The sequence below is a fragment of the Homo sapiens genome, chromosome 7 (genome assembly GCF_000001405.40).
Source record: "Homo sapiens chromosome 7, GRCh38.p14 Primary Assembly".
In the NCBI taxonomy this organism is placed as follows: domain Eukaryota; kingdom Metazoa; phylum Chordata; class Mammalia; order Primates; family Hominidae; genus Homo; species Homo sapiens.
This window is the reverse complement of record NC_000007.14, coordinates 2,223,149-2,251,148: the sequence shown is the minus strand read 5'-3', so window position 1 is coordinate 2,251,148 and position 28,000 is coordinate 2,223,149. Positions and strand designations below refer to the sequence as shown.

The window sequence follows — 28,000 nt, the reverse complement described above, 5'->3', positions numbered from 1 at the left end:
AACCACCGCTAGATAGCTTTATTTTCCCTTCCATCCAGTTAATTCCAGATGAAACCCGGCTCTGCGCCACTCAATGCCCCCAGGTGAAGATGGTTTGCGGCTGTTCAGCAGCCACGTCTCCTGCCCAGGGGCTGCCCTGGGCTCCCGCTAGACCGTGTCCACCTCGCGGAGTGTGTAGTCCAGGATGGTGTCCTGACCCTGGAACTTGAAGTACCCGTGGAATTTCTTCTTCTGAAGCAGGAGTGGAAACCAGTAGCTGTCGTCGGGCCACATGTCCTTGAAGGGGATCTGATCCAGCTGGAACCAGCATGGGCGCATTTCTGTACCAATGGGGGAAGAGGAGGCACTGAGGTGCAACCCAAACTTCATGCTTAAAAAACATGTTTTTTTTGGCCGGGCGCGGTGGCTCACGCCTGTAATCCCAGCACTTTGGGAGGCCGAGGCGGGAGGATCACGAGGTCAGGAGATCGAGACCATCCTGGCTAACACGGTGAAACCCCGTCTCTACTAAAAATACAAAAAAATTAGCCGGGCGTGGTGGCGGGCGCCTGTAGTCCCAGCTACTTGGGAGGCTGAGGCAGGAGAATGGTGTGAACCTGGGAGGTGGAGCTTGCAGTGAGCCGAGATTGCGCCATTGCCCTCCAGCCTGGGCGACAGAGCGAGACTTCGTCTCAAAACAACAACAGCAACAACAACAAAACCATGTTTTTTTGTAGAGATGGGGTCTCACTGTGTTGCCCAGACTGGTCTTGAACTCCTGGGCTCAACGATCCTCCTGCCTCGGCCTCCCACAGTCCACAGTGCTGGGATTACAGGGGTGAGCCACTGCGTCTGGCCAGCCCAAACGTACACTGACTCTCTGAGGAGTTCACTGAGTGATCGTGAGGAACCTGACGATCGTTTATATTTCATCCTCATTACCGTGTTTCTCATTTTAGGGTGGGCGCAGAGCAGGGGCAGGTACGCTACTGGAGCCTCGGTGCAGAGACCACGGCTCATGGGCCCCACGCTGGCACTGTGGGGTGGAGGGGGACGCAGGCTGCCCGGTCCCTGGCACTCAGAGATGGTTTGGGCGGATGGCCTTTCTCCCAGCCAGGAGATGGGACCCGCATAGTGGGGAGGGGGAGCAGGCCCTGTGAGACTCACCGTCGCTCTCCACGGGGGTCCCCTGGATGCTGTCTGTGCAGAAGACATGCACGTCCATGAGCTCAGGCTCGCCCACGAACTCAAACACGATCTGGCCCACCTTGTGCAGGGCGTCCACTGTCAGACCGCTCTCCTCCTGCAGCTCCCTGCGGGCAGAGGTGGGCAGGGGAGGGAGGCCGTCAGGGCATGGTGCCATGCCCACACGATGGCAGGGAGGAGGAGCTGGGCATCTACACACAGCCCAGGGAGCCACCAGGGTGGATGGGAGACCCAGGAGGATGTCCCCTAGAATGCATTATCTGGTCCCGACCTGGCTGAGCTTCAGAATCAACTTGAACTTTGAAGACACTGATTTTGGTTGAGAGGCTCTGGGGAGGGGCCCGGAGATGGTGTGGAGCCTCTGGTGGGAGGAACGCAGTTCTAGCCCAGTGCCCTCTGTGTACCAGTGACAGCCCAGGCCCAGTGGAGTCCAGCCACTTGTCCACCGTCTCGAGACCCGCACGTGGCAGGGTTGGGACTGACCCCACTTCCTTCATTCCCGGTTACTTGCTTTTCCGCGGCTGAGCATCAGAGCCCATGCAGCGGTAGTTACGACCGCCGGGGCCCTGGGACGCTTGCTCTGGGAACCTGGGCCCTATACTCTGGGCCTGTCTGCCCAAAGAAATGTCTTTCCAGCCTGGTGCCTCTTCTCTGAGAACACAGGATGAAACCACAGGCTTCTATGATCTGTTTCCTGAAGGAGGAGCTCTGGTTTTAACTCTGGTCCCCAGGCTGACCACACGGGACACGTGGCCTGGGCCTCTTCCTGCGCCTTCTCGGGACATGCTCCCCACAGCTGTGCCTGGAGGAGGTGTAAGGGGCTGACTTCACCACGGGATGCCCAAGTGCTGCTGCGCCTGGGAACAAGCCCTTCCCTGCTTCGTGGCACACAGAGCCAGGTTTCCCCGAAGTAGTCTAACGCTGTTGCTAATTTAAAAATTACATATTTGTTATAGACAACCAGGAAACAAAACGCCATAAACTCATCACCCAGGAATGCTACCATTTCAGTGTTTTTCCTTTGGCTCTTTCTCCTCTGTTTTTCCCTTAAGAAATGCAAACATTAACCCTTAATAGCTTAAAGTTAAAAAATAAAAATGCAAACAGGTTGGGTGCAGGGTGGCTCATGCCTGTAATCCCAGCATTTTTGGAGGCCAAGGTGGGAGGATTGATTGCTTGAGCTCCGGAGTTTGAGACCAGCTTGGGCAATATGGCAAAACCCTGTTTCTACAAAAAGGACAGAAATTAGCTGGGCATGGTGGCACTCGCCTGTAGTCCCAGCTCCTCAGGAGACTGAGATGGGAGGAATGCTTGAGCCCAGGAGTTGGAGGCTGCAGTGAGCTGGGATTACTCCACTGCACTCCAGCCTGGGCAACCGAGCTAGACCCTGTCTTAAAAAAAAAAAAAAAAAAAAAAGCAAACATCATACACACTTTATACCTCGGGCTTTCCACGCAAGAAAGGAGGAGTGCATGACATTCCACACCTCAAGGAACCCAGCCGCCTTCTCAACTCCTGTTTGGTATGGAAGAATAAAACGTTCCAACTTCGGGTTATGGTGGAAACCCGTGTTGGGCACAGCGGTGCTGCTGACCTCCCGTTCTGAGCGTTTGCTTGCTGTGCTCAGTCGGGTTCTTGCTCAGTCCCTCAGCAGACACTTCTGAACACCCACTCTGTGCTGGGACCCTGGGGATGCACGGGCTGCAGCCGCTGGGCACCTCAGTCTCCTCCTCTTACCATGCCCGGCTAATTTTTCTGTGTGTGTGTTTTTCTGTAGAGACAGGGTCTTGCTATGTTGCCCAGGCTGGTCCTGAACTCCTGGGCTCAAGCGATCCTTCTGCTTTGGCCTCCCAAAGTGCTGGGATTTCAGGTGTGAGCCACCATGCCTGGTCTAAATGGTCTGATTTAAGCGATGCCTCCTCAGCTTAAACTGCAGGGACTGGAGAGGAAACGGACCTGGAATCAGCATTTATTCATACAGATGGCTAATTAAAGTTGGGCTTGAGCTACAAAGTGAACGTGTGCTTCTACTTGGGTATAAATGGCTCCCCAGTTAGATGCAATAGAAGTGCTCAGTGGGGCCTCACCCGCCTCTTGGCGGCCGGCTGTTGCTCGTCTTAAAAAGCGTCACCTCCCAGTGGGATATTGTGACTGATTTTAGTTAATCTTCCCTAGCACATGGCAGCGTAGGAAGCATCAAGAATCCGCCGGGAGACAGAGCTGAAGCTCCATTTCCCAGGCAGGGAGCGCCAGGCAGGCGAAGATGACGCTGTTCAGTTCTGCCCAAGTGTCTGCTCTGTCCATGGCACTCGGTTCCCCAGGCGGAACACGGGGAACAGGGTGAGAAATACATGAAACAAAAACACAGGGTGGTGCAGCGTCCGTGGCGTGGGGAGGTGGGAGTCGGAGGTTCCGGCGGGCCTGCTTCCCATCGCTGCTCCTGTGTCCCCGGCCTCGCTAGTCTTTGGGGACCAGGGATGCTGTCTAGAAAGGTCGGCTCACACTGTGCGCCTGAAGCCCAAATCTGCACACCCCCACAATTCAGTACTCCCTACGTGCCTGTCCCCTGCCCCACAGAGGAGGGTCTGAGTCCAGCCCTCTGGACTGGGGTTAGGCGCTCAGGCCTGCCCCCTGCAGGCAAGCGGGGAGGGTGCCTAAACCGGCTCTTGGCCTGGGAGTTAGGGCCCATCTTGGGGTCCTCCTGATAGAATAGGACTGGGTATTGCGTGGATAAAGCAGGAACCAGCCTCCCCAGAGACCGGGCTGCCGACGCTCCTCCCTGCCTCCCGCTCCTGAGCAGCACGGGCCTGGGGTTGCCCCAGGAGCAAATCCATTCAGACTCGCAGGTACTGAAGCCCAGGGCCGTGCTGGTGGCCTGTGGCTGATGGTACGTCATCCCCTGAGGGCGAGGCTGTTTGCTGCTGGGTTCCCGGGGCCCTGGGACCCCTAAGCACCAGCCTGTCTGGCTCCAGTGTCCCCCATTCCTCATGCTTGCAGATGCTCCCCAACGAAGGATTTTTTTCTTTCTTTCTTTAAGACAGGGTCTCGGCTGGGCACGGTGGCTCACGCCTGTAATCACAGCACTTTGGGAAGCCGAGGCGGGTGGATCCCGTGAGGTCAGGTGTTCAAGACCAGCCTGGCCAACATGGTGAAACCCCCGTCTCCAGGTTACACCCGAGGATGGAAGTCACAGGCTTCCGGCTCTGTGCCTCAGTTCCCCCCCTCAAACCCTGGTCTGACAGCAAGCCACCACTGTATTCAGCTTTGAGGGTCTGGAGTGATGGTCCCTCTGTTTGTGTAATATTTACAGAGGGTAGGAGGAAAGTTCCTTCGACCGTGACAAAGTTCAGAAGAAAATAAAGCAGGGCTGCCGAGGGGGCCTGTGCTTTGCTTGTCACCAGCAGGACGAGAAGCGGAAATCCAGCCACCTGGAGTTCCTCCATCCAGCCTCCTCAGCACCGCTGCCTGCTCCACTCACACCCACCACTTCTCTGCACAGCTGGCGCTCCTCCAGCCCTCTGTGCTTCTGCAAATGTCTCCTTCCTCCCTCCTTCCACACTCTCCCAGCCAACGTCAGGCCCTCAGAGCATTTTCCTGGTGCCCAGTTATTCTCCCTTCCTTTCTCCTGGAGGCCCCTGGCCACGAGGTATGGACCAGACCTCCTTCTGCAGGTCTCCTGAACCCGGCAGCCAGATGACACGAGAGCTCCACAGAGGCAGGGACTGACCTGTTCCTCCTCATGTCCCCAGGCCCCACACAGAGCAGCGCTACAGAAATCCATGAGCTGATGGGCAGTCTTAGCAGATCAAAGACAAAGGGCTGGGCAGAGAACCCCCGGGGCCACCTTTCCTGTTTCCTGTGCTGTGGTCGCTCTGCACACACTCCTGGCAGGGACACGCTGTATGCCCGACTCACACCCAGTGGTCCTCCTCCCCAGCTGCGGCCCCCAGCACAGAGCCTGTCGCACTGGCACCTGCCACAGTGACTGATCGAACGTGTCCGTGTGGCTGCGGTCTGGGGTCCCAAGCCTTGGAGGGGAAGCACACACAGGGCTCTCCAAACTGAGGGTTGGGACCCATGTACCCCGGGAAATCGGCTTAGTGGATTGCAATTGAAAAAAAAAAAAGGGTCAAGCCAGTGGCCCACACCTGCAATCTCAGCACTCTGGGAGGCCCGGGAGGGAGGATCGCTTGAGCCTGGGAGTTAATGAGACACCATCTCTACAAAGAATTAAAAAACGAACTGAGCGTGGTGGCATGTGCCTGTGGTCCCAGCTGTTCGTGAGGCTGAGGCAGGAGGATCGTTTGAGCCCAAGAGTTTGAGGCTGCAGTGAGCCAAGAGTGTGCCATGGGTGAGATCCCACCTCTGGAGAAAAAAAGAGAAATGAATCGGAAAAGTAGAGCCCCCTTTTATGTAATAAGGGCGGCTACTGCAACTTACTTTAGCTGTACCTGCACACCTGAGTGTGTACACTCTATCAGAGTACAAAACGTATTTCTTACTGCAGGTTGTGATGAAAAAATTGGAAAGCCACTAGGCTGCAGCGTCCTGGCTTTCCTCCGTGCCAGGACCCTCTTTACTCTGTAGTTCTCCTCTCCAGGCAAGCTGGCCTACCTTTCTCAGAACAAAAACACGAACGGGGGCTAACGTCTGTGCAGCGATGTTTACACAGATGATCTCATTTACCCTGTGAGGGTTGAGGGGCGTCTGGAGGACTGTGTGATCTTGGGTAAACGGCTCAACCTCTCTGGGCTTCAGTTCCTTCCTAGGTGAAGCTGGCTGTGTTGAGGATGCAGTGAGGCTTTGTGCACAGCGAGTGTGAGATGAAAGCGATCATCAGCTCCACTGAACAGACAGAGGAACCAAGTGACTGACGAGCCCTTCGGCAACAGTGAGGGTGCTGGGAGGGTTCAATTCAAGCTGCTGCACAGAGGCTTCCAGATACGCCCTGCAGCCCCCAGCACCACCGCACCACAACAGCTAACACGCACTCAGCACGCACCGCACACCGCGCACCGTTCTAAGTCCTTCGAGTTCATTTCCTCATTTTATCTTCACAAGAGTCCGAAGGGCTGCGGACTGTTCTTCATTCTGAGATGAAGACACTGAGGCTCACGCTTAACCCCCTGCTCCAGGTCACTTAGCTCTTAGTGGTGAAACCAAGGGTGTGGCCCTACAGCCCGAATCCCTGTGCCCTGGGAAAGCCGGTTCTATGGCCAGACCTGCCCCATCCTTACCTCCTAGCCCCATCCTCGATGGTCTCTCCTTCTTGCACTTTGCCCCCAAAGCCATTCCACCGGCCGGCCCCGAAGCCTCGCTTTTTCATGCCCAGGAGAACTCGCTGAGGCTGCAGGACCAGCACCAGGGTATAGAGCCTGGAGGCGCCCATGGTCCCTGGGTTCTGAAAGGAAGGTGAGAGGGCAGAGTCAGCCATGACGTGCGTGGAGGAAGCACGTGCCAGGGGCCAGGAGGAAGGGGACGTGCTCTGGGAGGCAGTGGGGGGCGGGGGGGTATGCTGTAACTCCCCAGCCCTGCCACGTGTGGCTTCCCTTGTGGCAGGTGGAAAACTGCCATTGAACCAGTGATTTTCTGGGGTAGAAACAGAACCCAGTGGTCAGCAGGGCTGATCAAGCAGAGCAGAGGCCGGCGCTACCTTCCTTCTCCACAAGTCAGTACTCAGGTGCAGAGGACAACATCACCTTTCCAGAGCGTGCTCTTGCTCCTGCGTCTACCCCCAGGAACCCCCTGCTTATAGGCACACAGTGAGGAACAACAGTCCCCGTGCCTGATTGGCACCAAAATAACCACGCAGTTTATCCTGTGGTCCTCAGGTCAGGCCTTTGGATTAACAGGAACTTCTTTCAGTCTAGTGGGACCTGGCCTCTCTGTAGCAGGCTTCCAGATTCCCAGGAAATGTGTGGCTGTAGACACAGGTCCACCCAGCCAGGCCCGGCTAGTCCTCCCTCCTGTGATAGGAGTTTATACCCCACCCACTCTGCTCCTGCTGTGGCTACTGTGGGACCTGGCACCCAGGGGGGCCACTGGAAGTCACAAGGGTCCTTCCTGCTCCCATAGGTGTGCAGGTCCAGGTCCAGAGGACTCTGAGGGCGATGCCTCCGCCAGGTCCCTGCTGAAAAAAGGACCCTGGAGAAATGCTGGAGGGCCAGGACCAACTTTCCTTTATTTATTTTGAGACAAGATCCTGCTCTGTTGCCCAGGCTGGAGGAGAGTGGCGTGATCGCGGTTCACTGTAACCTCCGCCTCCCTGGCTGAAGCCATCCTCCTGCCTCAGCATCCCACATAGCTGGGACCACAGGCATGAGCCGCCACACCCAGCTAATTTCTGTATTTTTAGTAGAGATGGGGTTTTGTCACGTTGCCCAGGCTGGTCACGAACTCCTGAGCTCAAGCGATCCACCCACCTCAGCCTCCCAAAGTGCTGAGATTACAGGCGTGAGCCACTGCGCCCAGCCAGGACCAACTTTTCTGGGGTCCACACCTGGACAAGACACAGGGTTCAGGACCAGTGATCCTTCTTGGAAGTTGTGGTGTCTGAGAAAAGGGACCAGATGATAAGGAAGGGGGCAGGGAAGTGCTGGGTAGAGGAGGGCGTGGTCTCTGGCCAGGGCTCCACACCCAGGCCTGTGCCCAGGGACCTGGGTGAGGACAGGCATTTCTGTTTTTTTGCCCAAATGTTGCATTTCCCGAGCCCGCCACGTCCCCGTCCTGTGCCTATAAAAAAACCCCAGTGGTTTTTTATAGTGGGCAGAGACACAAGCCGCTGGACGTCAAGAGGACGTGGAAAGCACACCAACAGGCACCAGCAGGCCATCAACTGATGGAACCATGAGTTTGGCAGGGGCGGTCAGAGGAGAGCCCAGGCTGCTCAGCAGCCCGACTCCAGGGGAAAATCACCTTCCCACTCCAACTGCCTTCTGGCTCCCCCATCTGCTGAGGGCTAATTCCACTCATAAAACCTTGCACTCACTCTCCAAGCCGCCGTGTGATCTGATTGCTCCAGTACATCAAGGCAAGAAACCTAGGGATACAGAAAGCCCTCTGTCCTTGCGATAAGGCAGGGAGTCTAACAGCTGACTAACACAAGCCACCTACAAGGCTAAACTGAAAGAGCACCCTCTAACACATGCCTGCTGGGGCTTCAGGAGCTGCAAACATTCACCCCTAGACACTGCCGTGGGGTGGGAGCCCCTCAGCCTGCCTGTCTGTATGTTCCCCTAGAGGCTTGAGAAGCGGGGCACTGAAGAAGTGAGCCACATCCTCATCGCACGCCCTTCGAGGAGGACAAGGGAACCTTTCCCATTTCACTGAGACTGGGTCCTGGTGGCGGAGGCAGGTCAGACAGGGTAAATGGGTTTGTGGCTTAGTTTCACACCAGGCCCGTGTACTTTGTCCCGACACTGATCTGTTTCTGCCAGAAGCCACGGTTTCCAAAGTAAATTTTTGTGATTTACTCCTGGTCTCCCCCAAGCCTCCGCCCCGCTCTCCTTGTCTCTCTCCCAAACCCCCGGCCCCGCTCTCCTCGTCTCCCTCGAGCCCCCGACCCTGCTCTTCTGGTCTCCTTCGAGCTCCCGGCCCCGCTCTCCCCCAAGCCCATGGCTCAGCTCCCCTAGTCTCCTGCCGCCCGCTGGCCCGGCTCCCCTCCCTGGTCACCACGACTCCTGGAATCCCCGCGCGCGCTTTTCGTACCTGCACCGCCGCTTCCGGGGGCGTGGCCTCTGACCGGAAGTGAGGCCAGGCACTTCCGGCGGCGCGCTGCAGGCGCGGGGAACACCAATGGCGGGGTGAGCTGGGCGCTGCTGCTGCGCGTGCAGACAGCGGGAGTGGTTGGGGGTCCGCCCGGTCGCCTTCCTCGGTCCTGGCCTCGGGGCTGGGTGCCGAGCGCTGGGCACCGTCCCCGCACTCAGCGAGCGCGACAGGGGCGAGGCCAGGATTCCGGGTCGCAGTTCCCCGGGAGGAGGGCGCCCTCAGGTCTCCAGGGGCAGGGCCGGCGGGGCCGTGGGGAGGCCGGGGCCGGCGGCGGAGTCCAGGTGGGGGGCGCAGCGCCGGGGCCCAGATCCAAGGCGCCGGGGGCGAGCCCGGGGCGGGATTTCGCTTCTGGGCCGGGTAGCTCCATTGCCCGCGCTTCCTGGGCTGTCGAGTGGGCCCTGGCCCCCGGGACCGGCTTGTGCCATTTTCCCGGGAGACCCCTTAAGCGAGGGGAAGACAGCGACTCACGGTCAGCAGTCAGTGCCTCCTGGCTTGTCAGCACGCTTTGGTGTTGCAGAAGCTAGAAGCTTTGGCCTTGGAGCCATGAGGGTGGTAACTTTTATTTATTTATTTAAATCAGAAAGATGGACATAGAGACCGGGCTTGGTGGCCCACACCTGTCATCCCAGCACTTTGGAAGTCTGAGGCAGGAGGATCGTTTGAGCCTAGGAGTTCGAGACCAGCCTAGGCAATGTAGTGAGATGCCATCTCTAAAAAAGGTTTTTAAGAATTAAAAAAAAAAAAAAAATTAGCCCAGGCATGGTGGTGCACACCTGTAGTCCCAGCTACTCAGGAGGCTGAGGTGGGAGGTTCACTTGAGACCCAGAGGTTATGGCAGCAATCAGCTGTGATTGTGCCACTGCAACTCCAGCCTGGATGATAGCAAAACAAAAATGGCCGGGTGAGGTGGTTCACGCCTGTAATCCCAGCACTTTGGGAGGCCAAGGTGGGCTGATCGCCAGAGGTCAGGAGTTCGAGACCAGCTCGGCCAACATGGTGAAATCCCATCTCTACTGAAAATAGAAAAATTAGCCGGAAGTGGTGGCACACACCTGTAGTCTCAGCTACTCAGGAGGCTGAGGTGGGAGGTTCACTTGAGCCCCAGAGGCTGTGGCTGCAGTCAGCTGTGATCATGCCACTGCACTCCAGCCTGGGTAATAGTAAAACCCTGTCTCTAAAAAAACAAAAAGAAGAAAGAAATGCCTGGGTGCAGTGGCTTACACCTGTAATCCCAGCACTTTGGGAGGCCAAGGCGGGCAGATCAGCGGAGGTCAGGAGTTTGAGACCAGCCTGGCCAACATGGTGGAACCCATCTATACTGAAAATACAAACATTAGCCGGACATGGTAGCAGGTGTGCCTGTAATCCCAGCTACTTGGGAGGCTGGGGCAGGAGAATTGCTTGAACCCGGGAGTCGGAGGCTGCAGTGAGCTGTCACTGCACTCCAGCCTGGGCGCCAGAGTGAGACTCCGTCTTAAAAAAAGAAAAAGAGGACATAGAACTTCCTTGGTGAGGTTGTTGTCAGAGTTAAACAAGGGGAGGTGTGTATAGCTTCCACCTGCTTAGCTATTGTGGGCTGTGAATAAATTGTTACATTTATTGTAACAATTGTCTAGAGAATCTTGGAAATTGTCCTTCAACGATTGACACAGGTTTAGTTCAATTTTATTTAAGACATGTAGGTGAGAGGATTGTTTGAGCCCAGGAGTTCGAATCTGCGTTGAACCGTGACCTCACCACTGCACTCCAGCCTGGGCTATAGAGCGAGACCCTGTCTCGAAAAAAAGAAGAAAAAAAGAAATGTGACAGGCCAGACCCTCTGTACTAGCTGTCAAAGCCCTGGAACTAGGTCACTAAGGCAAGGATCTGTCCTTATGAGGTTTTCTTGCAGCCTGTCAGAGCCCAATGAACATTTTTGCCAGATGAGAAAATAATATTACTTTAATTAATTAATTGATGTATTTAGTTATTGTTTGAGACAGAGTCTCGCTCTGTCGCCCAGGCTGGAGTGCAGTGGCGCAATCTCGGCTCACTGCAACCTCTGCCTCCTGGGTTCAGGCGATTCTCCTGCTTCAGCCTCCCGAGTAGCTGGGTTTATAGGCATCTGCCACCACGCCAGGCTAATTTTTGCATTTTAGTAGAGACGGGGTTTCATCATGTTGGCCACGGTTGGCCAGGCTGGTCTCGAAATCCTGACCTCAGGGGATCCACCTGTCTTGGCCTCCAAAAGTGCTGGAATTACAGGTGTCTCCGAATACCCCCATATTCTGAGGTACCAAGGGTTAGGACATCAACACATTAATTTTGCGGGGACACAGTTTGGCCTGTGATGCCTGCTTTCCATCTGTGTAGCCTTATCAGTTCACCTCCCCTCCTGGGCCTTGGTGCCCCATCTCTAGAAATGAATGAGTTGATCCGAGGGCCCTCCCAGCTCATGACCTGCCGTTCTGTGTGATGCCAACCTGCCTGCTCCTCTTCTCTCCCACCAGGTACTTGAAGCTGGTGTGTGTTTCCTTTCAGCGTCAAGGGTTCCACACTGTTGGGAGTCGCTGCAAGAATCGGACAGGCGCTGAGCACCTGTGGCTGACCCGACATCTCAGGGACCCATTTGTGAAGGCTGCGAAGGTGGAGAGTTACCGGTGTCGAAGCGCCTTCAAGCTCCTGGAGGTGAACGAGAGGCACCAGATTCTGCGGCCCGGCCTTCGGGTGTTAGACTGTGGGGCAGCTCCTGGGGCCTGGAGTCAGGTGGCGGTGCAGAAGGTCAACGCCGCAGGCACAGGTGGGCCTCTGCACTGCTGTTGGCACCTTCTGGCTCCCCTGAGGCTGAGTGGGCATGGGCAAGCTGCCTTTGCCAGTGGATGCGGGATGGTGGAGCCCTTTTTTGAAGGCGTGTGCTTCCGAGTGGGTGGTTTAGCAATGGTGATGATAAAAATAGGATGCTGCCATTTTCAAAATGAAAGACAAGGTAGAAAGGTGCAGTGAACATGGAAATCACCTCGCATGAGACCGCCCGCAGGTACCAGCACCAGCATGGTGGTGTGCATCCTTCCAGGCTTGTGCATGCATAGATCCCTCACATTTTCAAAAGCGATGTTGTGCCATACTTTTCTTGCTAATTTGCAGCCTATTGGAGCTATTTTTGCTTAATGATACATACATATATGTATTATATATATATATATATATATATATATATATATATATATATATATATATATAATTATTATTGTTATTATTTTTGTTCTTCCCCCCCCTCCAGATGGAGTCTCACTCTTGCCCAGGCTGCAGTGCAATGGTGTGATCTCGGCTCACTGCAACCTCTGCCTACCTGGTTCAAGCGATTCTCCTGCCTCAGCCTCCCAAGTAGCTGGGATTACAGGCGCCCGCCACCGCACCCAGCTAATTTTTTCTTTTTGTTTTTTTAAGTAGAGATAGGGTTTCACTATGTTGGCTAGGCTGATCTCGAACTCTTGACCTCAGGTGATCTGCCCACCTCGGCCTCCCAAAGTGCTGGGATTACAGATGTGAGCCATGGTGCCCGGCTACTCTTAATGATGTATTGACATCTTTCCCCAACAGCACAGCTAAATTTCCAAGTCGCATAAGCCCTGGGGCTTTCCTGGTGGCCCCACTGGGGCTGCTCCGTCCGGAACCTAGAAGAGGCTTCATGGCCAGGGCTATGGATTCTTTGCTCTGGATGAAGCTGAGACACAGTTTTCATCTGTTTTGTATCTTAGGGTTTTGAGTAAGATTTTCTATATAAAAAGGTTCTCCTGAATAATGAGATCAGCCAACCGCCCATGCAACTGAAGACACTGTCGTCATTGGGAAAGTTTCATCCTATTCCATGTAGTGCTTGCACCGTAGGTTCTTTAACCAGCTCCCTCACTGTGGCATCAAGGTTGCTTTTGGCTTTTGGCTGGGATGCGTGTGCTGTGGTGAATATCCTTGCCATTTATGTTTCCTGCTGTAAAGCCAGGGTAGCTGCATGCACTGGCATTTGAACAGGGTGAGACAGTCCACCCAGAGCTCTCCCAAGTCTCTCCCAAATACCTTAGAGTAGGGACACTGGTCCCCATTTATTGGTGAGAAAACAGGCTCAGGGTTTCATGACTTGTTGAAAGTGCAGAAATGGAATGCTGGCCCCCTGGATCTGCACATCTGCCTCGCTGCTGGTTTGCGGTAGGTTTGCCATGAACTCTTGGTGTCTACCTGCATCCCCTTGGGTGGCCCCTGCCCATACTTAGGCGGGGATATGCCTCTTCGGGCTTTTCAACAGCATTTTTTTTTTTTTTTTTTTTTTTTGTTTATAGAGCCTCACTCTGTTGCCCAGGCTGGAGTGCAATGGCGCCATCTCGGCTCACTGTAATCTTTGCCTCCTGTGTTTAAGTGATTTCCGGCTAATTTTTGTATGTTTAGTAGAGATGAGGTTTTGCCATGTTGGCCAGGCTGGTCTCGAACTCCAGGCCTCAGGTGATCCGCCCGCCTCTGCCTCCCAGCATCCTCGAGGTGCTTCCTGGTGCTTCCATCGTGGTCAGCCTGAAAGCCTTTTTATTGTTTTTCAGCTCAACATTTATTGACTAAATAAGTGAATTTGTGTTGGAAATGTCAGTTCCTTTTCTCATTGCTGAGCTTATCACCGTGGAGTCCTCCTAGTAACTGATTTCAGTGGTTTCTGTTCCCCTAAGTGCTCTTGAGATGAAGCAGGAGAGTGGCCCAGCGTGCCTTGTAGGAGGAAGTGACAGAAGGAGAGAGCGTGAGCGTGATCTGCCTGGGCTTGTCCTCCCGGAAGTCACAAGCATGCAGCCAAAGCTGTTTGCCTTCGGTGGAAATTTCCGAAGGTTGTAACATACTGGATATTATAGGAGTGAAAGCTCAGGAGCATAAAGTGAGGCGTGAGGCCGGGCGCAGTGGCTCACACCTGTAATCCCAGTACTTTGGGAGGCCAAGGGGAGGATCACCTGAGGTCAGGAGTTCGAGACCAGCCTGGGCAATATGGTGAAACCCCCGTCTCTACAAAAAATTAGCCAGGTGTGGTGGCATGTTCCTGTGGTCCTAGCTCCTTGGGAAGCTGAGGTGGCAGGGGTCGCTCGAACCTGGGGAAGTCAAGGCTGCAGTGAGCTGAGGCCGTGCAACGGAGTGAGGCCTTGTCTCACACACACACACACAAAGACACACAAAGATAACTTGCTGATATTTGAGTAACACCAGTTTGCTAAAACTAAAAAGATGCCTTTGTGTCACCTTACGTAAAACAAGACTTGTTGCCTATAACTGATCTCAGCATCTGCCTCCCCCTCTTCTCACTCTGTACCTACATTCAAAGCCCCCTCTTCACAAGCCCAACGCCCCCATCTCCCCAACAGTCCCCTCCACTGAGGAGGGCCGTAGTTCTGTTGAGAAATTGTCAGAGTTGATAAGCTAAGGGTACAGTCACAGATTTTCTTGTTCAGTCTGCTTAACAGAAAGGCTGTTCCAACGGTAGGGGGAGAGAAAGGGACCGTGTTTCATTCCTAGTGTAAACATTGGAAGTCCAGGTATTTTGAAGATTACCTCATTTTTCAAAGGCGAAACCCCTCAGTCTTCACCCCAGGAAAATGGGACGCCTCACGCCTCATTTTAGCTGGGTCTCCTGAGTAGCTGAGACTACAGCTAATTTTTATATTTTTTTGTAGAGACAGGATCTTGCTATGTTGCCCAGGCTGGACTAGAACTCCTGGGCTCAAGTAATCCTCTTGCTTCAGCCTCCCAAAGTGCTGGGATTTTAGGTGTAAGCCACCACACCTAGCCGATATCAGTTTTTGTACGTTATTTTATATCTGTTCATTTTCCTCATCTCTTGACTTGTTTCCAGTAGTTTCTACATTGAAAGCAATTGGATTAAGCTGGAGAATGGATTTCTTGATTTAATCCAGAGGCACTTTATGTACTAGTTTATTATTTTCTTTTTCTTTTTCTTTTTCTTTTGAGATCGAGTCTCGCTCTGTCGCCAAGGCTGGAGTGCAGTGGTGCGATCTTGGCTCACTGCAACCTCCGCTTCCCGGGTTCAAGCGATTCTCCTATCTTAGCCTCCCGAGTAGCTGGGATTACAGGCACGTGCCACCACGCCTGCCTAATTTTTGTATTTTTAGTAGAGATGGGGTTTCCCCATGTTGGCCAGGCTGGTCTCGAAGTCCTGACCTCAGGTGATCCACCCGTGTCAGCCTCCCAAAGTGCTGGGATTATAGGTGTGAGCCACTGGGACTGGCCTATTTTCTATTTTAGTTTATCAAAAAGAGCACTCAGAGATAAGAACCCTTTCACAGAGAGTGAGCCTTGGGTAGTGAAATGATACCAGATTTGGAATCAGAAGTCCTGATGCCTGGCACAGGTCTGCCCATGGCTGAGGATGACTCTAGGACAGTCACTTCCTGTCTGGGCCTCAGCTTCTCAGATGTTAAGGCCCGCCATCTCCACCATGTGTCTTTATAGGATGTATAGATAGAGAAGGCCTGTGTTTACCTATTTGCACATTAGCTCTTTGCCTTGGTCTTGACATTTTATTTTTATTTCATCACTTTGTTGCATGTACTGTATTTTTGTAAAAAGATTCAGGGTGTAAATAAATAACACATTCACCATTTCTTCCATAGATCCCAGCTCTCCTGTTGGCTTCGTGCTTGGGGTAGATCTTCTTCACATATTCCCCCTGGAAGGAGCAACTTTTCTGTGCCCTGCTGACGTGACTGACCCGAGAACCTCACAGAGAATCCTCGAGGTGCTTCCTGGCAGGAGAGCAGATGTGATTCTGAGCGACATGGCGCCCAATGCCACAGGGTTCCGGGACCTCGATCATGACAGGCTCATCAGCCTGTGCCTGACCCTTCTCAGCGTGACCCCAGACATCCTGCAACCTGGGGGGACATTCCTTTGTAAAACCTGGGCTGGAAGTCAAAGCCGTCGGTTACAGAGGAGACTGACAGAGGAATTCCAGAATGTAAGGATCATCAAACCTGAAGCCAGCAGGAAAGAGTCATCAGAAGTGTACTTCTTGGCCACACAGTACCACGGAAGGAAGGGCACTGTGAAGCAGTGAGGATTTCTTGTGCCATTTTCATAATGGTCATTAGCTCCTTTTAAGCTAGAAACGTAGCCTGAGCTCCTGAAGAGTTCCTGGGAGATTTGAGCTGATTTTGGAGATGGAGCAGGACAAGTGGGGAGTCTCTCTCTCTCTTTCTCTCTCTCTCTTTTTAACCAAAAAGAGATGACAAAACTAAGTTCAGGGGCCATGGAAAATGAAAAAGTCCGCTATATTGTGATTTGGGAAGAGAAAGTTATCAAGAGAAAGAGGTGAGGATGGAAGGATGGAGAAAAACAGACTGTGGGAAGGATCAGAAGGAATCCGCCGAGGCAGGGATGGGTGTGCCCATGTGTGCCTTGACGGGACTTCATCTTATAGACTGTTAAACTGTCACACACAAACAGGCTTTCCACCCCTGCTCTGAGAGCACCACGCACAGATTTCCAGTTCTTAGTGTGGCTGTTTAAAGTAGAAAATCTGGGGGCTGGGTGAGGCCACTCATGCCTGTAAACCCAGGGCTTTAGAAGGCTGAGGCTGGGGGATTGCTTGAAGTCAGGAGTTCAAGACCAACCTGGGCAACATAGCAACACCCCCCATGTCTACAAAAATGAAAAACCAAAAAGCAAACCAAAAGAAAAATCTGAAATTTCCATCTGGGGATTAACTTCTGTCTTTCTGGTGAACAATATAGCAATTCACGCATTCTTCAAGCAGCAAAAGTTCCCGGAACAATTAGGGAAGACGTATGGTCTGAATTTATCCAGGCAGTGGGTCTGCTTTGGTTTTTGCTGGAAATTTATATCAGTGTCTGGGCTCCCAAGAACATAAATGTAATTGCCAAAGCAAGCAGTGATGTGGTGTGTTTATTTTCTTTTACTCATCTAGGAACTTGACGCAGCTTTATATTTAATAAAATAATAGAGATTGCATTATTTTAAGGTACTTTCATGCTTTGAAGTTTTGTTTTTTTTAAACTGGCTTCCTCAAAGCCATTTCCTGGAGGTGTACTCATCCCTCAAGAAGAGTTTGTTGACTATGATTAAATTCCAAGGACCAGTGGGGGAAGTCTGGAAACCCAGGAATCTCCATCAGGAATCTGGGGCTCTGTCCAGCTCCCCGAAGGAAACTGCGGGTCAGATGTTTTGATTTTTTTTTTTCTTTGAGAAACAGAATCTCACTCTGTCACCCAGGCTGGAGTGCAGTGAAGTGATCTTGGCTCACTGTAAGCTCCACTTCCCGGGTTCACGCCATTCGGCCTCAGCCTCCCGAGTAGCTGGGACTACAGGCGCCCATCACCACGCCCGGCTATTTTTTTTTTTTTTTTTTGTATTTTCAGTAGAGACGGGGTTTCACCGTGTTAGCCAGGATGGTCTCGATCTCCTGACCTCGTGATCCGCCTGCCTCGGCCTCCCAAAGTGCTGGGATTACAGGCGTGAGCCACCGCGCCCGGCCGCCAGATGTTTTGACTTTTCATTTTATTTCTGGTTGCAGTCAGGTTGTTAAGTCCAGGGACTCTTGCCCTACTCCACCTCGTTCTCTTATTCCATTTCATTCCCGGGGCACACAACTTGGAAGTCTTTCTCTGAAAGAAGGAAAATTCATTGCAGACCCTTAGGAACAGCATCTTCTTAGAGGGAAGCCAGGGGCTGGGCAGAGACGGGAGGAGGAGAGGAAGAGAATATGGAAACGAGTAAGGCACACTCTTCTCAGGAAGGCTCCAATTTGAAGGATAGACAAAGGTTACCATAATAATGGTGGGGCCTGACCTCACCCCATTGGATGCTGTGCCCTGGCTTGCAGAGCACTGGGAAGGTAGCCTAGTAGCATAAATTGCATTTCTAGTGGGCCCAGAAAAAAGCAAAATAACGGATTGATTCAAGCTGATACTGAGTAGCAAAATTTTGGGAAGAGTCAACGGTGCAAGTTTGTCCGAGGAGGCTGCCGTGGGCGCGGCTATTCCACACATTACGGCGCGAGGCGAAAGCCTTAGTGGAAGCGCGTCCTGCGCAAAGCCGGGGGGCCCCCGACTGCGCCTTGGCTCAGCCTTCGGTTCCGAGTCCTTTCCGTGCGGAGTCTCCCAGGGGTGGCGGCTCCGGGTGCGGACGCGGAGTCCCCAGGATCAGCCGGTGCGCAGACTCGGTTCTTTACGGCCCGATTGCCACGCAGGTCTCGCGAGAGCGCAGGCGCAAGTGTCGCGATAAATGGGCGCCGGCGGAGCGGAGGGAGATCCGAGCGGCGGCGGCAAGCTGGCTGCGAGCGGCTGAGGTAAGCGGCCCGGCTCGCGCGGGCGGCGGGGTCCCGGGGTCCCGGGGGTCCCGGGAATGGCAAGGGAGGGGCCGAGGGCCCGGACCGGGTGTGCTCGCCAGGGTGGGGCACAACGACCCAGACCCCGTGCCTCAGGACCCCGCGCCCGCCCCGTCTCCCATGGGCGCGCTCTCCTCTCTGTGCTCTCCCCTCCTCTCCCCACTCCCCTGTCCCCACTCCCCCTTTGGGCTGTGCTGGGGACAGCGGGCCCCTCGCCTGGGTCTCCGCAGCCGTCCCTTGTGCCAGGGCGGGCGGCCGAGGGGCGCGTGCTCGTGGTCCCAGCCCCGGGGTCCCGCTGCCTACCGTGTGGGTCCCCGGGCTAGGGTGCCGGCGCGCCGAGGAAGGGGCCTGAGCTGGCGCCTGGTGGAGAAGTCGGGGCTGCAGGGGCTCTTGGCATCCTGGTGGCTCGCGCCGGTCCGCTCTCAGGAAGGGGGCGTGTGGGCCCGGTTTCCCCTCGGGGATGGCAAGGGCCACCCTGATCTCGTTTGGGCAATGGAGGAATTGGGCTGTGGAGCCTCCTTCCAGGCGGGCCTGCCTCTGCGGGGCTGGCAGCCTGGGGAGCTCAGGCCTCTGCTTGCACCAGGCCAAGGTTCTTGTTAAATGGAAACTCAGAAACTGTGCAGCTGCAGAAGTTCTACCTTTGGCTTTTAAACGCGCTTGGCTGTTCCCTAGTTGTGGCTGGTGGGCCGGCCTGCCATGAGCCCATAGTAAGCGCCGGTGTTGGGGGTGCAAAGTTCTTTACTGCGGTTTGTCTTCAGCCTTCCAAAGCCAGACAGACCCAAGTTCCAATCTCCGTTCTGTAACTTTTTGAAGCTTCGGTTTCATCATCTCTAGAATCTGTGTAAAAAGACCTAATTCACCACCCTGTTGAGACTGAGCTTACAAATATAGTGCTGGTCAACCTGCAGCCGTATTCCCATCATCTAGCGGTGGAAGACTTGAGGGATATTGGCCCCGTTCCCCACAACTTTGCAAGTAGATTTCACTGTCATGAGTTTACAGATGAGGAAACTGAAGTTCAAGAAGTCTCGGTGCTCGGAAATGTCAGATACCTTTCTTTCTGATACCTAGTTGAAAATAGTAGTAGTACTTATTAATGTCACTAGAAATAAACAATGAAAATGAGCACAGCTGTGATGATCATCATCTTTACTGTCACTGTTGCATGCCTCGTTTCTGATTCCCAGAGGCCAGATTTTTTTTTTAATTAATTATTATTATTTTTTGAAACGGAGTCTTGCTCTGGCACCCAGGCTGGAATGCAGTGGCGCGATCTCAGTTCACTGCAACCTCCATCTCCTGGGTTCAAGAAAATCTCCTGTCCCAGCCTCCGGAGTAGCTGGGATTACAGGTGCACGCCACCACATCTGGCTTTAGTAGAGATGGGGTTTCACCATGTTGGCCAGGCTGGTCTCGAACTCCTGACCTGTGGTGATCTGCCCATCTTGGCCTCACAAAGTGCTGGGATTACAGGCATGAGCAACAGTGCCTGGCTTATGTTTATTTATTTATTTATTCATTCATTTATTTATTTTGAGACACTGTCTCACCCCGTTACCCAGGCTGGAGTGCAGTGGTGCGGTCTCAGGTCACTGCAACCTCTGCCTCCCAGTTTCAAGCGATTCTTGTGCCACAGCCTCCTGAGTAGCTGGGATTACAGGCGCACACCACCACACCCGGCTAGTTTTTGTATTTTATTAGAGGTGGGGTTTTGCCATGTTGGCCATTCTGGTCTTGAACTCCGGACCTGCCTCCGCCTCCCGAAGTGCTGGGATTAGAGGCGTGAACCACCCTGCCTGGGCAAGAGGCCAGACTTTGCTGTGAGTGCTCCTGGTAGGTAGTTTCAGGCATCAACTGACTGGATTCAGGAATTCCTAGAAACCTGGGAAAGCATCATTTTTGGTTTTGGGTGTGCCTGTTGAGGGTGTTTCCAGAGGAGATGAGCTTGGGAGTCTGAGTGGACCAGGTGCTGAAGATCCATCCTCAGAGTCAGGGGCAGTATCTAAGAGCCTGGGGGCCTGGAGAGGACAAAAACAGAGAAAAGGCGAATGTGTCCATCTGCCTGCAGGAGCTGGGATACACTCTTCCTCTCCTCTCCTCAACAGCAGCACTCCAAGCTCGCCGGCCTTTGGTCTCCAGGACTTGTCCCAGCAGCCCCTCGAACTGAGAATTACACCATCGGACCCCTGGCTCTGAGGCCTTCAGACTTGGACTGTGTCACACTGCCAGGCTTCCAGGGCTCCAACTTGCAGACGGCCTGTTGTGGGACAGTCTCTGTAATCGCGTGAGTCAGTTTCCCCAATAAAGCCCTTCTCTTGTGTCTGTCTCTGTGTCCTGTTGGCTCTGTGTCTCTGGAGAACCCTCTTACAGTGCAGTTGGGGGACGTGCCACCTGAGTGCTGAGCCCCGCCTCCCGGGCGCCAGCTGTCCATCTGTCCATGTGCAACTGAGACTCAATTGGTGGCTTGCTGGTGGGGATTTGGTGGCATGCTTCCTTGCTTCCATTTTTTGTCTGGTAAATTGGCAGCATGGCTCCCAGTTGCCATTGAAGAATGTGGTTACAGGCATGGGTGTATTATGAGCTCCAATGTGCGTTAGGGGAGTGGGGCTGTCCAGAGGCTCTGCTGACTGCACGGCTGATGGCACGTGGAAAGGCTGCCCCTGACCAGTCCTTTGTCTGTCCCCGGAAGGAAAGCAACCATGGAAGACCTGGGGGAAAACACCATGGTTTTATCCACCCTGAGATCTTTGAACAACTTCATCTCTCAGCGTGTGGAGGGAGGCTCTGGACTGGATATTTCTACCTCGGCCCCAGGTTCTCTGCAGATGCAGTACCAGCAGAGCATGCAGGTGAGTGGCATGTGCCTGGGTGGGAGTCTGCTCTGGGGAGACCCTGGGCCCGGGCAGGACCTCTTCCAGTCTTCTGTAGTTGAGGTGGGTCGGTATTAGCAGAGCCTAGAGACAGCTATTCGTCTCCCAGGTCTCACTATGGGCACTCCTCATTTTGGGGTCGTAGCTGGAGGCTAGTTGGGGCCCTGAGCCATCCTGGCTTAAAGGCCTGCCTTGTTAGCGCCCTGAGTGGGCCTGGCGCTCAGCATTGCGTTCACACAAGTGCACTCACAGACCCTGGTGACAGGATCGGAAAGCCAGTTCATTCATCTAATTGAGGACAGAACCCAAACTGCCTGGGGGAGTGAGCACCAGGACTGTCGGGAAGGCTGTGTTGGAAACACAGTGCTGAGAGTGCCTGGGCAGCCCAGAGACAAAGCCACAGCAGTGAGCAGAAGGACTGGGTGTTTTGTGGTCTCAGACTGTGGAGGGCCATTTACAGATTTTGGGGTGATTTTTACAGTTTTCTTCTATAAAATAGTTGTATTTTGTTTCATTACAAGTTCTTGGGGTTTCTCACTGTAGACACAACTGCAGAGGATTCAGGCCTCCTGAAGGACTTCAGGCTCCAAAGAGTGATGAGCCCAGTCCCAGTTGGGGCTGCGATAATGGGGCCCCCAAGTTGTAGGGAGTGGTGGGGAGTGGAGTGCTGGCTAGTAGTGTCTCCAGCCTTGCCTGGGCCCTGTGGCTGCGCAGGCTCCTCTAGGCTCCTCTGCCTGGACCCTCTTTCCCAGTCCCTGCTGCGGTCCCCAGAGCCGTTCTGTAGTTCTGTCCGCATTAGAGGAGGCTCTGGCTTCCTGCGCTCTCAGAGCCCAGATGAGGCCCTGCTGCATTTGGTTAAACTGTGTGTGCGTGTGCATTTGTTTTGTTGCATAATTGAATTAATGTGTGTTTATTAGAATGCTAGCTTGTGGCCAGATGTGGTGGCTCAGGCCTGTAATCCCAGCACTTTGGGAGGCTGAGGTGGGCGGATCATGAGGTCAGGAGATCAAGATCATCCTGGCTAACACGGTGAAACCCTGTCTCTACTAAAAATACAAAAAATTAGCTGGGCGTGGCACCTGTAGTCCCAGCTACTCGGGAGGCTGGAGCAGGAGAATGGTGTGAACCCGGGAGTCAGAGCTTGCAGTGAGCTGAGATTGCGCCACCGCACTCCAGCCTGGGTGACAGAGTGAGACCCTGTCTCAAAAAAAAAAAAAGAATGCTAGTTGCTAGCTTGCTCACTGCCCTTTCTTGATGAGGACTGTTTTTTATTCTGAGATTAGGTCATATATATATATATGTGTGTGTGTATATATATAATATTTATGTAAATGTTCTTTTGTGAAATTATGAAGGTAATAGATGGTAGTTGTTTTTTATCACTGACAAAATGAGAAGTGGCCAACTCTGAGCTGGTTGCAGTGGCTCATGCCTATAACCCCAGCACTTTGGGAGGCTGAGGTGGCTGGATCACTTGAGGTCAGGAATTTGAGACCAGCCTGACCAACATGGTAAGACCTCATCTCTACTAAAAATACAAAAATTAGGCGGGTGTGGGCACCTGTAATCCCACCTACTCGGGAGGCTGAGGCAGGAGAATCGCTTGAACCTGGGAGGCGGAGGTTGCAGTGAGCCATCGCGCCACTGCACTCCAGCCCGGGTGACAGAGTTGGCAACTCTGGTCTGAAATGCTGTGATTTTAGTGTTGCGAATGTCTGGGACCTCTTGGCCTGTCTGTCAAAGCTGTGGGATTCTAGAGTCTGTCTTGGGGCTCGGAGGCCCCCAGTGCTCACTGGTAAAGGCCTCTCGGTGAGGGGATCAGTGATGGAGTGCGGTAGTCAGAGCAAGGTGGTGAGCGGAGTGATGGCGGCAAGACCAGCCTTGGTCCCTGGCCCCTGTCACATCCCATTCCTGGACTTCGTCGTGGTTCTCTCTCTCCTGCTGAGCCCCCGGCGTGGCAGGGAGGGCCTGGAGAACATGGCAGGCCGGGGGAATGTGTGCTGTCTGGTTTCTCACACATCGTGTTGATTTAACGTAAGGGTAAACTTTCAGGGTTCCTTTCTTTCCGTTGTAGTCAGCTCCAGGCAGAGGTGGCACACGGATCAGGTGTGTCTGGGACTCCTGGTCCCTGCCGGTCGTGCCCCCTGCAGGCGGGGTGCCCACCCTTCTCGAGAGGCTCAGGCTTGACTGCAGACACAGAAGTGAGACCAGGAAGGCTGCTGAGTTTGAAGGGCAGTCTTAGGAACGCCCAAACAGCAGCAGCTGAGAATCGAGACACAGTAACATAGGAGTAAAGGAAGTGTGGGCTTGGGCCACCAGAGAACACAGGTGGGAGGACAGAGAAACTTCCCTCCCCTGTCCCAGGCTTTCCTGGCCTTGGCACGCTTGGCATTTGGGCTGGGTAATTCTTTTTTCTCAGGACTTTCTTGTGCATTGTGGGCTGTTTAACAACTTCCCTGGCCTCTACCCCCTGGACGCCAGCCAGCAGCAGACACATGTGACCACCCCCCTGTGACAATCAGGTGTCTCCAGACAGGGCCAGATGTTCCCAGGGGCAAAACTGGACCCCACTGGGAACCACCACTCTACTCTGGTGCTTCTCAACCTTTCATGTGCATGTGAACGCCCTGAGAATGTGTCTAAAAAGAAGTTTCTTTTTTTCTTTTGGAGATAGGGTCTTACTCTGTCATCCAGGCTGGAGTGCAGTGGTACAATGTTGGCTCACTGCAGCCTCCGTCTCCTGGGTTCAAGTGATTCTCCCTCCTCAGCCTCCCGAGTAGCTGAGATTACAGGTGCGTTACCACCACACTCGGCTAATTTTCATAGTTTTGAGTAGAGACAGGGTTTCACCATGTTGGCCAGGCTGGTCTCAAACTCCTGACCTCAAGTTATGTACCCACCTTGGCCCCCCGAACTGCTGGGATTACAGACGTGAGCCACCACGCCTGGCCTAGATTCTTTTGTTTTTTTTTTTTTGAGACGAACTCTTGCCCTGTCATCCAGGCTGGAATGCAGTGGTGTGATCTTGGCTCACTGCAACCTTCGCCTCCTGGGTTCAAGCGATTCTCCTGCCTCAGCCTGAGTAGCTGGGGTTACAGGTGCGTACCACCACGACCAGCTAATTTTTGTATTTTTAGTAGAGACGGGGTTTCCCCATGTTGGCCAGGCTGGTCTTGAACTCCTGGCCTCAAGTGATCCACCCGCCTTGGCCTCTCAAAGTACTGGGATTACAGGTGTGAGCCACCACACCCAACCTAAAGAGAAGATTCTGACTGAGTAGGTCTGGGGTGTAGTCTGCGACTCTGCATTTGTTAAGTGCCGGGAGATGCTGCACTGCAAGGCTCTGGGCCACGTGAAGAGTCAGTGACTCTGCCTTTTCCTCCAGCTGAGCAGGTCGTACCCAAAGGCCGGCTCTGGAACTATTTGGCAAGTCTTCTGGGGCTCTTTGAGGCTCAGCTAACCTGTAATCACTAGCCCTGTGTGGTAGGCAGACTTCTGAGAGGGCCCCCAGGAGCTCAGCTCACCTGTAATCACTAGTCCTGTGTGGCAGGCAGACTTCTGAGAGGGCCCCCAGAGGCTCAGCTCACCTGTAATCACTAACCCTGTGTGGTAGGCAGGCTTCTGAGAGGGCCCCCAGATTCCAGGCTCCTTGTGCACACTCACCTTCCTACTGCCTCCCAGGTTTCAGTCCAATACTGAGTAGGTTTCATTGCTGTGGGATTGTGCAGATGTAATTAAGGTCTAAGATCTGTTGACCTTGAGATAGGGAGATTACGTGGGTGGGCTTGATCCACTCCCTGGTGGGCTTGATGTACTCACCTGAGCCCTTTAAGTCTGAGTCCAGACGTCCGAGGCCGAGCAGTCAAGAGACATAGCAGGAGAGGGATTTGATGAGGGAGATTGGACGTGGTTGACTTTGGAGATGGAGAGGGCCGTGTGGCAAGGGATGTGGGCAGCACCTAGGAGTTGATGGCTGTACTGGGCTGGCAGCCAGTCGGGAAGGAGACCTCATTCTCCATCTCTGAGCTCCACGTGAGAACATGTCCTGGCCGACTGCATTGATTTTTAGTCTGGGAGACCCTGGTCAGAGAATGCAGCCACCTACGTCTGGACTTCCGACCCACGGAGCCGTTGGCTGGTAAATAAATGGGTGGCATTCGAGGCCGTTGCCTTCACTAATATGCTTAATGTCATCTCAAAAGACGTCTTCCTCTTCCCAGGCTTTTTCACCTTCCCGTTTCCTGCCCCTCCCCTGTTCCCCAGCCTGGAGCCCAGTGGCTGGGCCACATCAAGACTTAGCACGGGACCTGCGGGAATGGGTCCTCAGGGAGTGTGTCTGCTGCACTGAGTCACTCACCTGGTTTGATGCCGTCACTGAGGATTCTGTTTTTCTTTGGGTGCGACCTGCTCAGCTGGAGGAAAGAGCAGAGCAGATCCGTTCGAAGTCCCACCTCATCCAGGTGGAGCGGGAGAAAATGCAGATGGAGCTGAGTCACAAGAGGGCTCGAGTGGAGCTGGAGAGAGCAGCCAGCACCAGTGCCAGGAACTACGAGGTGGGTTCAGGCGGGGCGAGGGTCGGCCCAGACAGCCCCAGGAAGCAAGGGGGCTGTGCACGGTACCTGCCAGGTTATAAGAAATCACATCCTAGTCCCTGGGAGCAAGGGGGCTGTGCATGGTACCTGCCAGGTCTTAAGAAATCAGATCCCAGTCCCTGGGAGCAAGGGGGCTGTGCACGGTACCTGCCAGGCCGTAGGAAATGAGAACCCAGCTGGCTGGAAGCCTGACACGCCCTGTGTCATGGTTGCCAGGACATTCCTTCTGAGGCCACTCATGCTGTGGGGCAGGTATCAGTTATGCTTGATGTCCTAGAGGAGGGTGGCATGAAATGGGAACACTTGCTGTGTCTGTTCATTGAGGCTGCGGTGCTGGCACAGATTCTTTTGCTGGGTCTCCTGGTTTCCTCTTCCCTCTGGAAGAATTGGAATGCAGGTCTGGCAGAAATGCCAAGTGGTGTAGGAGTGACAGGCTTAGGAGGTCATGGGGTGGATCAGGGTCTCGGGTCCATGCTGGGTCTTGGGGTTGGAGGGCCCTAGCAAAGGGTGCCGGTCTCAATGGCGGCTCTGTGTTGCTCCTGGCTCCCCAGGGCAGCAGGGAAAACACCCTGTCCTTGGGGAGGGAATTAGGTTTCCACTGAGTGCGCGGATCCCCTCTGCTCTGATTAACAGCACTTTGCCAGGGTTTCAGTCAGTGCTGATCAGTTGTGGAAATGCTGCCAAGGTTCAGGCAGAGTATTGGGCGGAAAGTCTCCCTGGCCTCCGTGCCCTCTCTTGGCGGGTGGATGTCCAGCCCCGCCCTGACATCATGCGGTGTATTCACACACTCTCCTGGGCCCTAGAAAAATAGCTCACGTCTTCCGGGGTGTGATGCTGGTTGGATTGCTTGCCCCTGGCCTGCAGATCCTGACTGCGGTGTGCGTTGTGTGGGCTCAGTGAGACTGAGGCACCGCTGGGGTGGGGGCCACTGCCTCAGGGTTGGCTCCGTTGCTGCTTTGAGAGCTGTTTTCCCTGAGAGGTGGGGCGTTTGCTCATGGCCTGGGTGGGTCCTAGGAGGGACAGTACTGGAGGAATTGGTGGGAAGGGGAGGGAGAGTCCACAGGAGTCTCCCTAACTACTGAGATTCCCTTGTTAGGGGTGGAGAGGAGCCACCAGGTCATTGGTCTGGAGGCAGCATGCTGATGGTATGGCTGTGGCTGTCAGGCAGGAGGGACAGTGTGCAGCTGTTGGAGTTCCTCTAGGCCGAGAGTCCCTGAGGGCAGGGCCCACCCGACTCTGCCCAGGATCTCCATTGTGTGGCACAGCTTATGGCATTTTATGGGTGCTCACAAATGTTGGATTGAGGGAGGGGTCATTGTAGGGTCTCCGGGAACCCTGTCTTGGGGAAATCCAAGGATGCAGGTGACTGGGCTTACACCTGGGGCTCCCTGCTGAGCTCCAGCCACCTTCTAACAGGACTGTCCTTCCTTGCCCGCAGACACAGCTGCATGGGACCCCAGGAACAGTCAGAACCAGTAGTTTTCCAATTGTTCCTTGGAGTTCCACCTGGAAATACCTATTAGGGGCGAGACTTAAGTGTCTGAAGTCCAAAGACCTGCTGGCTGCCCTGTCTGCGCTGGGACTGGCAGTTCCAGGCCCGGTGCCGCATCTGGCTGTGATGGTGCTGAGCGGAGCCCCGTGCCAACCCCAGTTCTTGTCCTGCATCACAGAAGGGTCTCTTGGTTGTTGTGAGGCAGCCCTTGCAGCTCACAAGGGCTGGAGTCCCTCCGAGGTGCGCGGGTCAGCCTCTCTCAGAAGGCGGCCACCTCTGTCACAGCTCTCCTGGGTTTTGGGCTGGAGTACCCTGGATGAGGACAGCACAAGCTCGTACTCCACCCGGGGCTCCGGGAGTGCTTGGTGCTTCCCGAGGAAGGCAGGGTGAGAGGGTCCCGGAGTGCCGGGCTCCACCAGGACTCACCGCCTTCACCTCCTGGGACGCCGGTACCTGGCAGTGAACTCTGGAGGGCCTGCGGGTCATTAGAGTCAGGAGGTCTGAGCGTGGTGCTTGGTCATGTCCCATCCCAACCAGTGAGAGCCACGCGGCCTCCCTAAGGCCAGTCGTGGGGGGTGGGTCTGGAGGTTTGTGGTTTGTGTGAGAGGGGGTGCATGTGTGGCAGATTTGAGCCCAGTGTAAACTGCTTCTGCCCACAGCCTCCTGTCCACGCTGCCTGTCTCTGCCCCTGTTGTCTGCTCGCTGGGGGAGTGCCAGCTCCTTTCAGTGC

General features: G+C 54.2%; 3 protein-coding genes across 17 annotated transcripts in view, besides 11 other annotated features; 2 read left to right on the top strand and 1 right to left on the bottom strand.

Annotated features, from left to right (window-relative positions):
• Positions 1-3: 3 nt before the first annotated feature.
• NUDT1 (nudix hydrolase 1) lies at positions 4-8,923 on the bottom strand. Of its 11 annotated transcripts, NM_001367554.1 has the most exons (6): positions 8,860-8,923; positions 8,174-8,224; positions 6,423-6,586; positions 1,147-1,292; positions 414-507; positions 4-320 (listed from the first exon to the last, which is right to left on the bottom strand). In NM_001367554.1, the coding sequence occupies exons 3-5, from the start codon at positions 6,572-6,574 to the stop codon at positions 452-454; spliced, it is 354 nt and encodes a 117-aa protein (NP_001354483.1). In that variant the 5' UTR covers positions 6,575-6,586; positions 8,174-8,224; positions 8,860-8,923; the 3' UTR covers positions 4-320; positions 414-451. The 11 variants fall into 11 exon arrangements, 10 of the variants coding, with proteins under 10 accessions (NP_001354483.1, NP_945190.1, NP_945188.1 ...); NM_198952.2 differs by lacking the exon at positions 414-507 and having other exon boundaries at positions 8,101-8,224; positions 8,857-8,923; NM_198950.2 differs by lacking the exon at positions 414-507 and having other exon boundaries at positions 8,857-8,923.
• Positions 1,808-1,887: an enhancer, noted in NCBI's record as "active region_25514". NCBI's record gives its function as "activates an Ori minimal core promoter by ATAC-STARR-seq in GM12878 lymphoblastoid cells {active_cell/tissue: GM12878}" and the evidence as "EXISTENCE:reporter gene assay evidence [ECO:0000049][PMID:35858748]".
• Positions 5,144-5,193: an enhancer, noted in NCBI's record as "active region_25513". NCBI's record gives its function as "activates an Ori minimal core promoter by ATAC-STARR-seq in GM12878 lymphoblastoid cells {active_cell/tissue: GM12878}" and the evidence as "EXISTENCE:reporter gene assay evidence [ECO:0000049][PMID:35858748]".
• Positions 8,944-16,954, top strand: MRM2 (mitochondrial rRNA methyltransferase 2). Its single transcript, NM_013393.3, has 3 exons — positions 8,944-8,987; positions 11,442-11,731; positions 15,585-16,954. The coding sequence occupies exons 1-3, from the start codon at positions 8,980-8,982 to the stop codon at positions 16,025-16,027; spliced, it is 741 nt and encodes a 246-aa protein (NP_037525.1). The 5' UTR covers positions 8,944-8,979; the 3' UTR covers positions 16,028-16,954.
• Positions 9,018-9,237: a silencer, noted in NCBI's record as "silent region_17864". NCBI's record gives its function as "represses an Ori minimal core promoter by ATAC-STARR-seq in GM12878 lymphoblastoid cells {active_cell/tissue: GM12878}" and the evidence as "EXISTENCE:reporter gene assay evidence [ECO:0000049][PMID:35858748]".
• Positions 9,560-10,411: an enhancer, noted in NCBI's record as "H3K27ac-H3K4me1 hESC enhancer chr7:2280373-2281224 (GRCh37/hg19 assembly coordinates)". NCBI's record gives its function as "activates a minimal SCP1, AML or CMV promoter by ChIP-STARR-seq in primed H9 embryonic stem cells {active_cell/tissue: H9 hESC(primed)}" and the evidence as "EXISTENCE:reporter gene assay evidence [ECO:0000049][PMID:30033119]".
• Positions 13,135-14,334: an enhancer, noted in NCBI's record as "MED14-independent group 3 enhancer chr7:2276450-2277649 (GRCh37/hg19 assembly coordinates)". NCBI's record gives its function as "activates an origin of replication core promoter dependent on BRD2, BRD4, P300/CBP and CDK7 cofactors, and independent of MED14, by STARR-seq in HCT116 cells {active_cell/tissue: HCT116}" and the evidence as "EXISTENCE:reporter gene assay evidence [ECO:0000049][PMID:35650434]".
• Positions 13,450-13,849: an enhancer, noted in NCBI's record as "active region_25512". NCBI's record gives its function as "activates an Ori minimal core promoter by ATAC-STARR-seq in GM12878 lymphoblastoid cells {active_cell/tissue: GM12878}" and the evidence as "EXISTENCE:reporter gene assay evidence [ECO:0000049][PMID:35858748]".
• Positions 16,819-17,351: an enhancer, noted in NCBI's record as "H3K4me1 hESC enhancer chr7:2273433-2273965 (GRCh37/hg19 assembly coordinates)". NCBI's record gives its function as "activates a minimal SCP1, AML or CMV promoter by ChIP-STARR-seq in primed H9 embryonic stem cells {active_cell/tissue: H9 hESC(primed)}" and the evidence as "EXISTENCE:reporter gene assay evidence [ECO:0000049][PMID:30033119]".
• Positions 17,930-18,308: a silencer, noted in NCBI's record as "fragment chr7:2272476-2272854 (GRCh37/hg19 assembly coordinates)". NCBI's record gives its function as "represses an EF-1alpha promoter that drives an FKBP-Casp9 reporter gene in an ReSE screen in phorbol 12-myristate 13-acetate-treated (for megakaryocytic differentiation) K562 erythroleukemia cells {active_cell/tissue: K562(+PMA)}" and the evidence as "EXISTENCE:reporter gene assay evidence [ECO:0000049][PMID:32094911]".
• Positions 18,001-18,295: an enhancer, noted in NCBI's record as "tiled region #7916; HepG2 Activating DNase unmatched - State 1:Tss, and K562 Activating DNase unmatched - State 1:Tss". NCBI's record gives its function as "activates a minimal TATA promoter and a strong SV40 promoter by Sharpr-MPRA in HepG2 and K562 cells {active_cell/tissue: HepG2 | K562}" and the evidence as "EXISTENCE:reporter gene assay evidence [ECO:0000049][PMID:27701403]".
• Positions 18,086-18,215: an enhancer, noted in NCBI's record as "active region_25511". NCBI's record gives its function as "activates an Ori minimal core promoter by ATAC-STARR-seq in GM12878 lymphoblastoid cells {active_cell/tissue: GM12878}" and the evidence as "EXISTENCE:reporter gene assay evidence [ECO:0000049][PMID:35858748]".
• The window catches only part of MAD1L1 (mitotic arrest deficient 1 like 1), a 417,151-nt gene continuing 407,354 nt past the window's right edge, over positions 18,204-28,000 (top strand). Inside the window, exons 1-4 of one of the 5 annotated variants that reach the window (NM_001013837.2) lie at positions 18,204-18,277; positions 20,425-20,600; positions 21,006-21,165; positions 25,599-25,739. In NM_001013837.2, coding sequence (NP_001013859.1) covers positions 21,016-21,165; positions 25,599-25,739 — 291 coding nt within the window. In that variant the 5' untranslated portion in view covers positions 18,204-18,277; positions 20,425-20,600; positions 21,006-21,015. Of the gene's footprint in view, positions 18,278-20,384; positions 20,601-21,005; positions 21,166-25,598; positions 25,740-28,000 lie in introns of all 5 variants that reach the window. The other 4 variants (NM_001013836.2, NM_003550.3, NM_001304523.2 and 1 more) reach the window with 4 other exon arrangements.
• Positions 18,286-18,705: a silencer, noted in NCBI's record as "silent region_17863". NCBI's record gives its function as "represses an Ori minimal core promoter by ATAC-STARR-seq in GM12878 lymphoblastoid cells {active_cell/tissue: GM12878}" and the evidence as "EXISTENCE:reporter gene assay evidence [ECO:0000049][PMID:35858748]".

What these genes read in the sequence shown, in the direction of transcription:
- MRM2 (NM_013393.3), top strand. An exon ending in GGTCAACGCCGCAGGCACAG is followed by an intron (nt 11,732 to 15,584) that starts GTGGGCCTCTGC and finishes TTTCTTCCATAG; the next exon opens with ATCCCAGCTCTCCTGTTGGC.
- NUDT1 (NM_198952.2), bottom strand. Translation starts at nt 8,157, where the DNA reads ATGAGTGGAATTAGCCCTCAGCAGATGGGGGAGCCAGAAGGCAGTTGG. An exon ending in AAGGCAGTTGGAGTGGGAAG is followed by an intron (nt 6,587 to 8,100) that starts GTGATTTTCCCC and finishes CCTTCCTTTCAG; the next exon opens with AACCCAGGGACCATGGGCGC. An exon ending in GACCCCCGTGGAGAGCGACG is followed by an intron (nt 321 to 1,146) that starts GTGAGTCTCACA and finishes CCATTGGTACAG; the next exon opens with AAATGCGCCCATGCTGGTTC.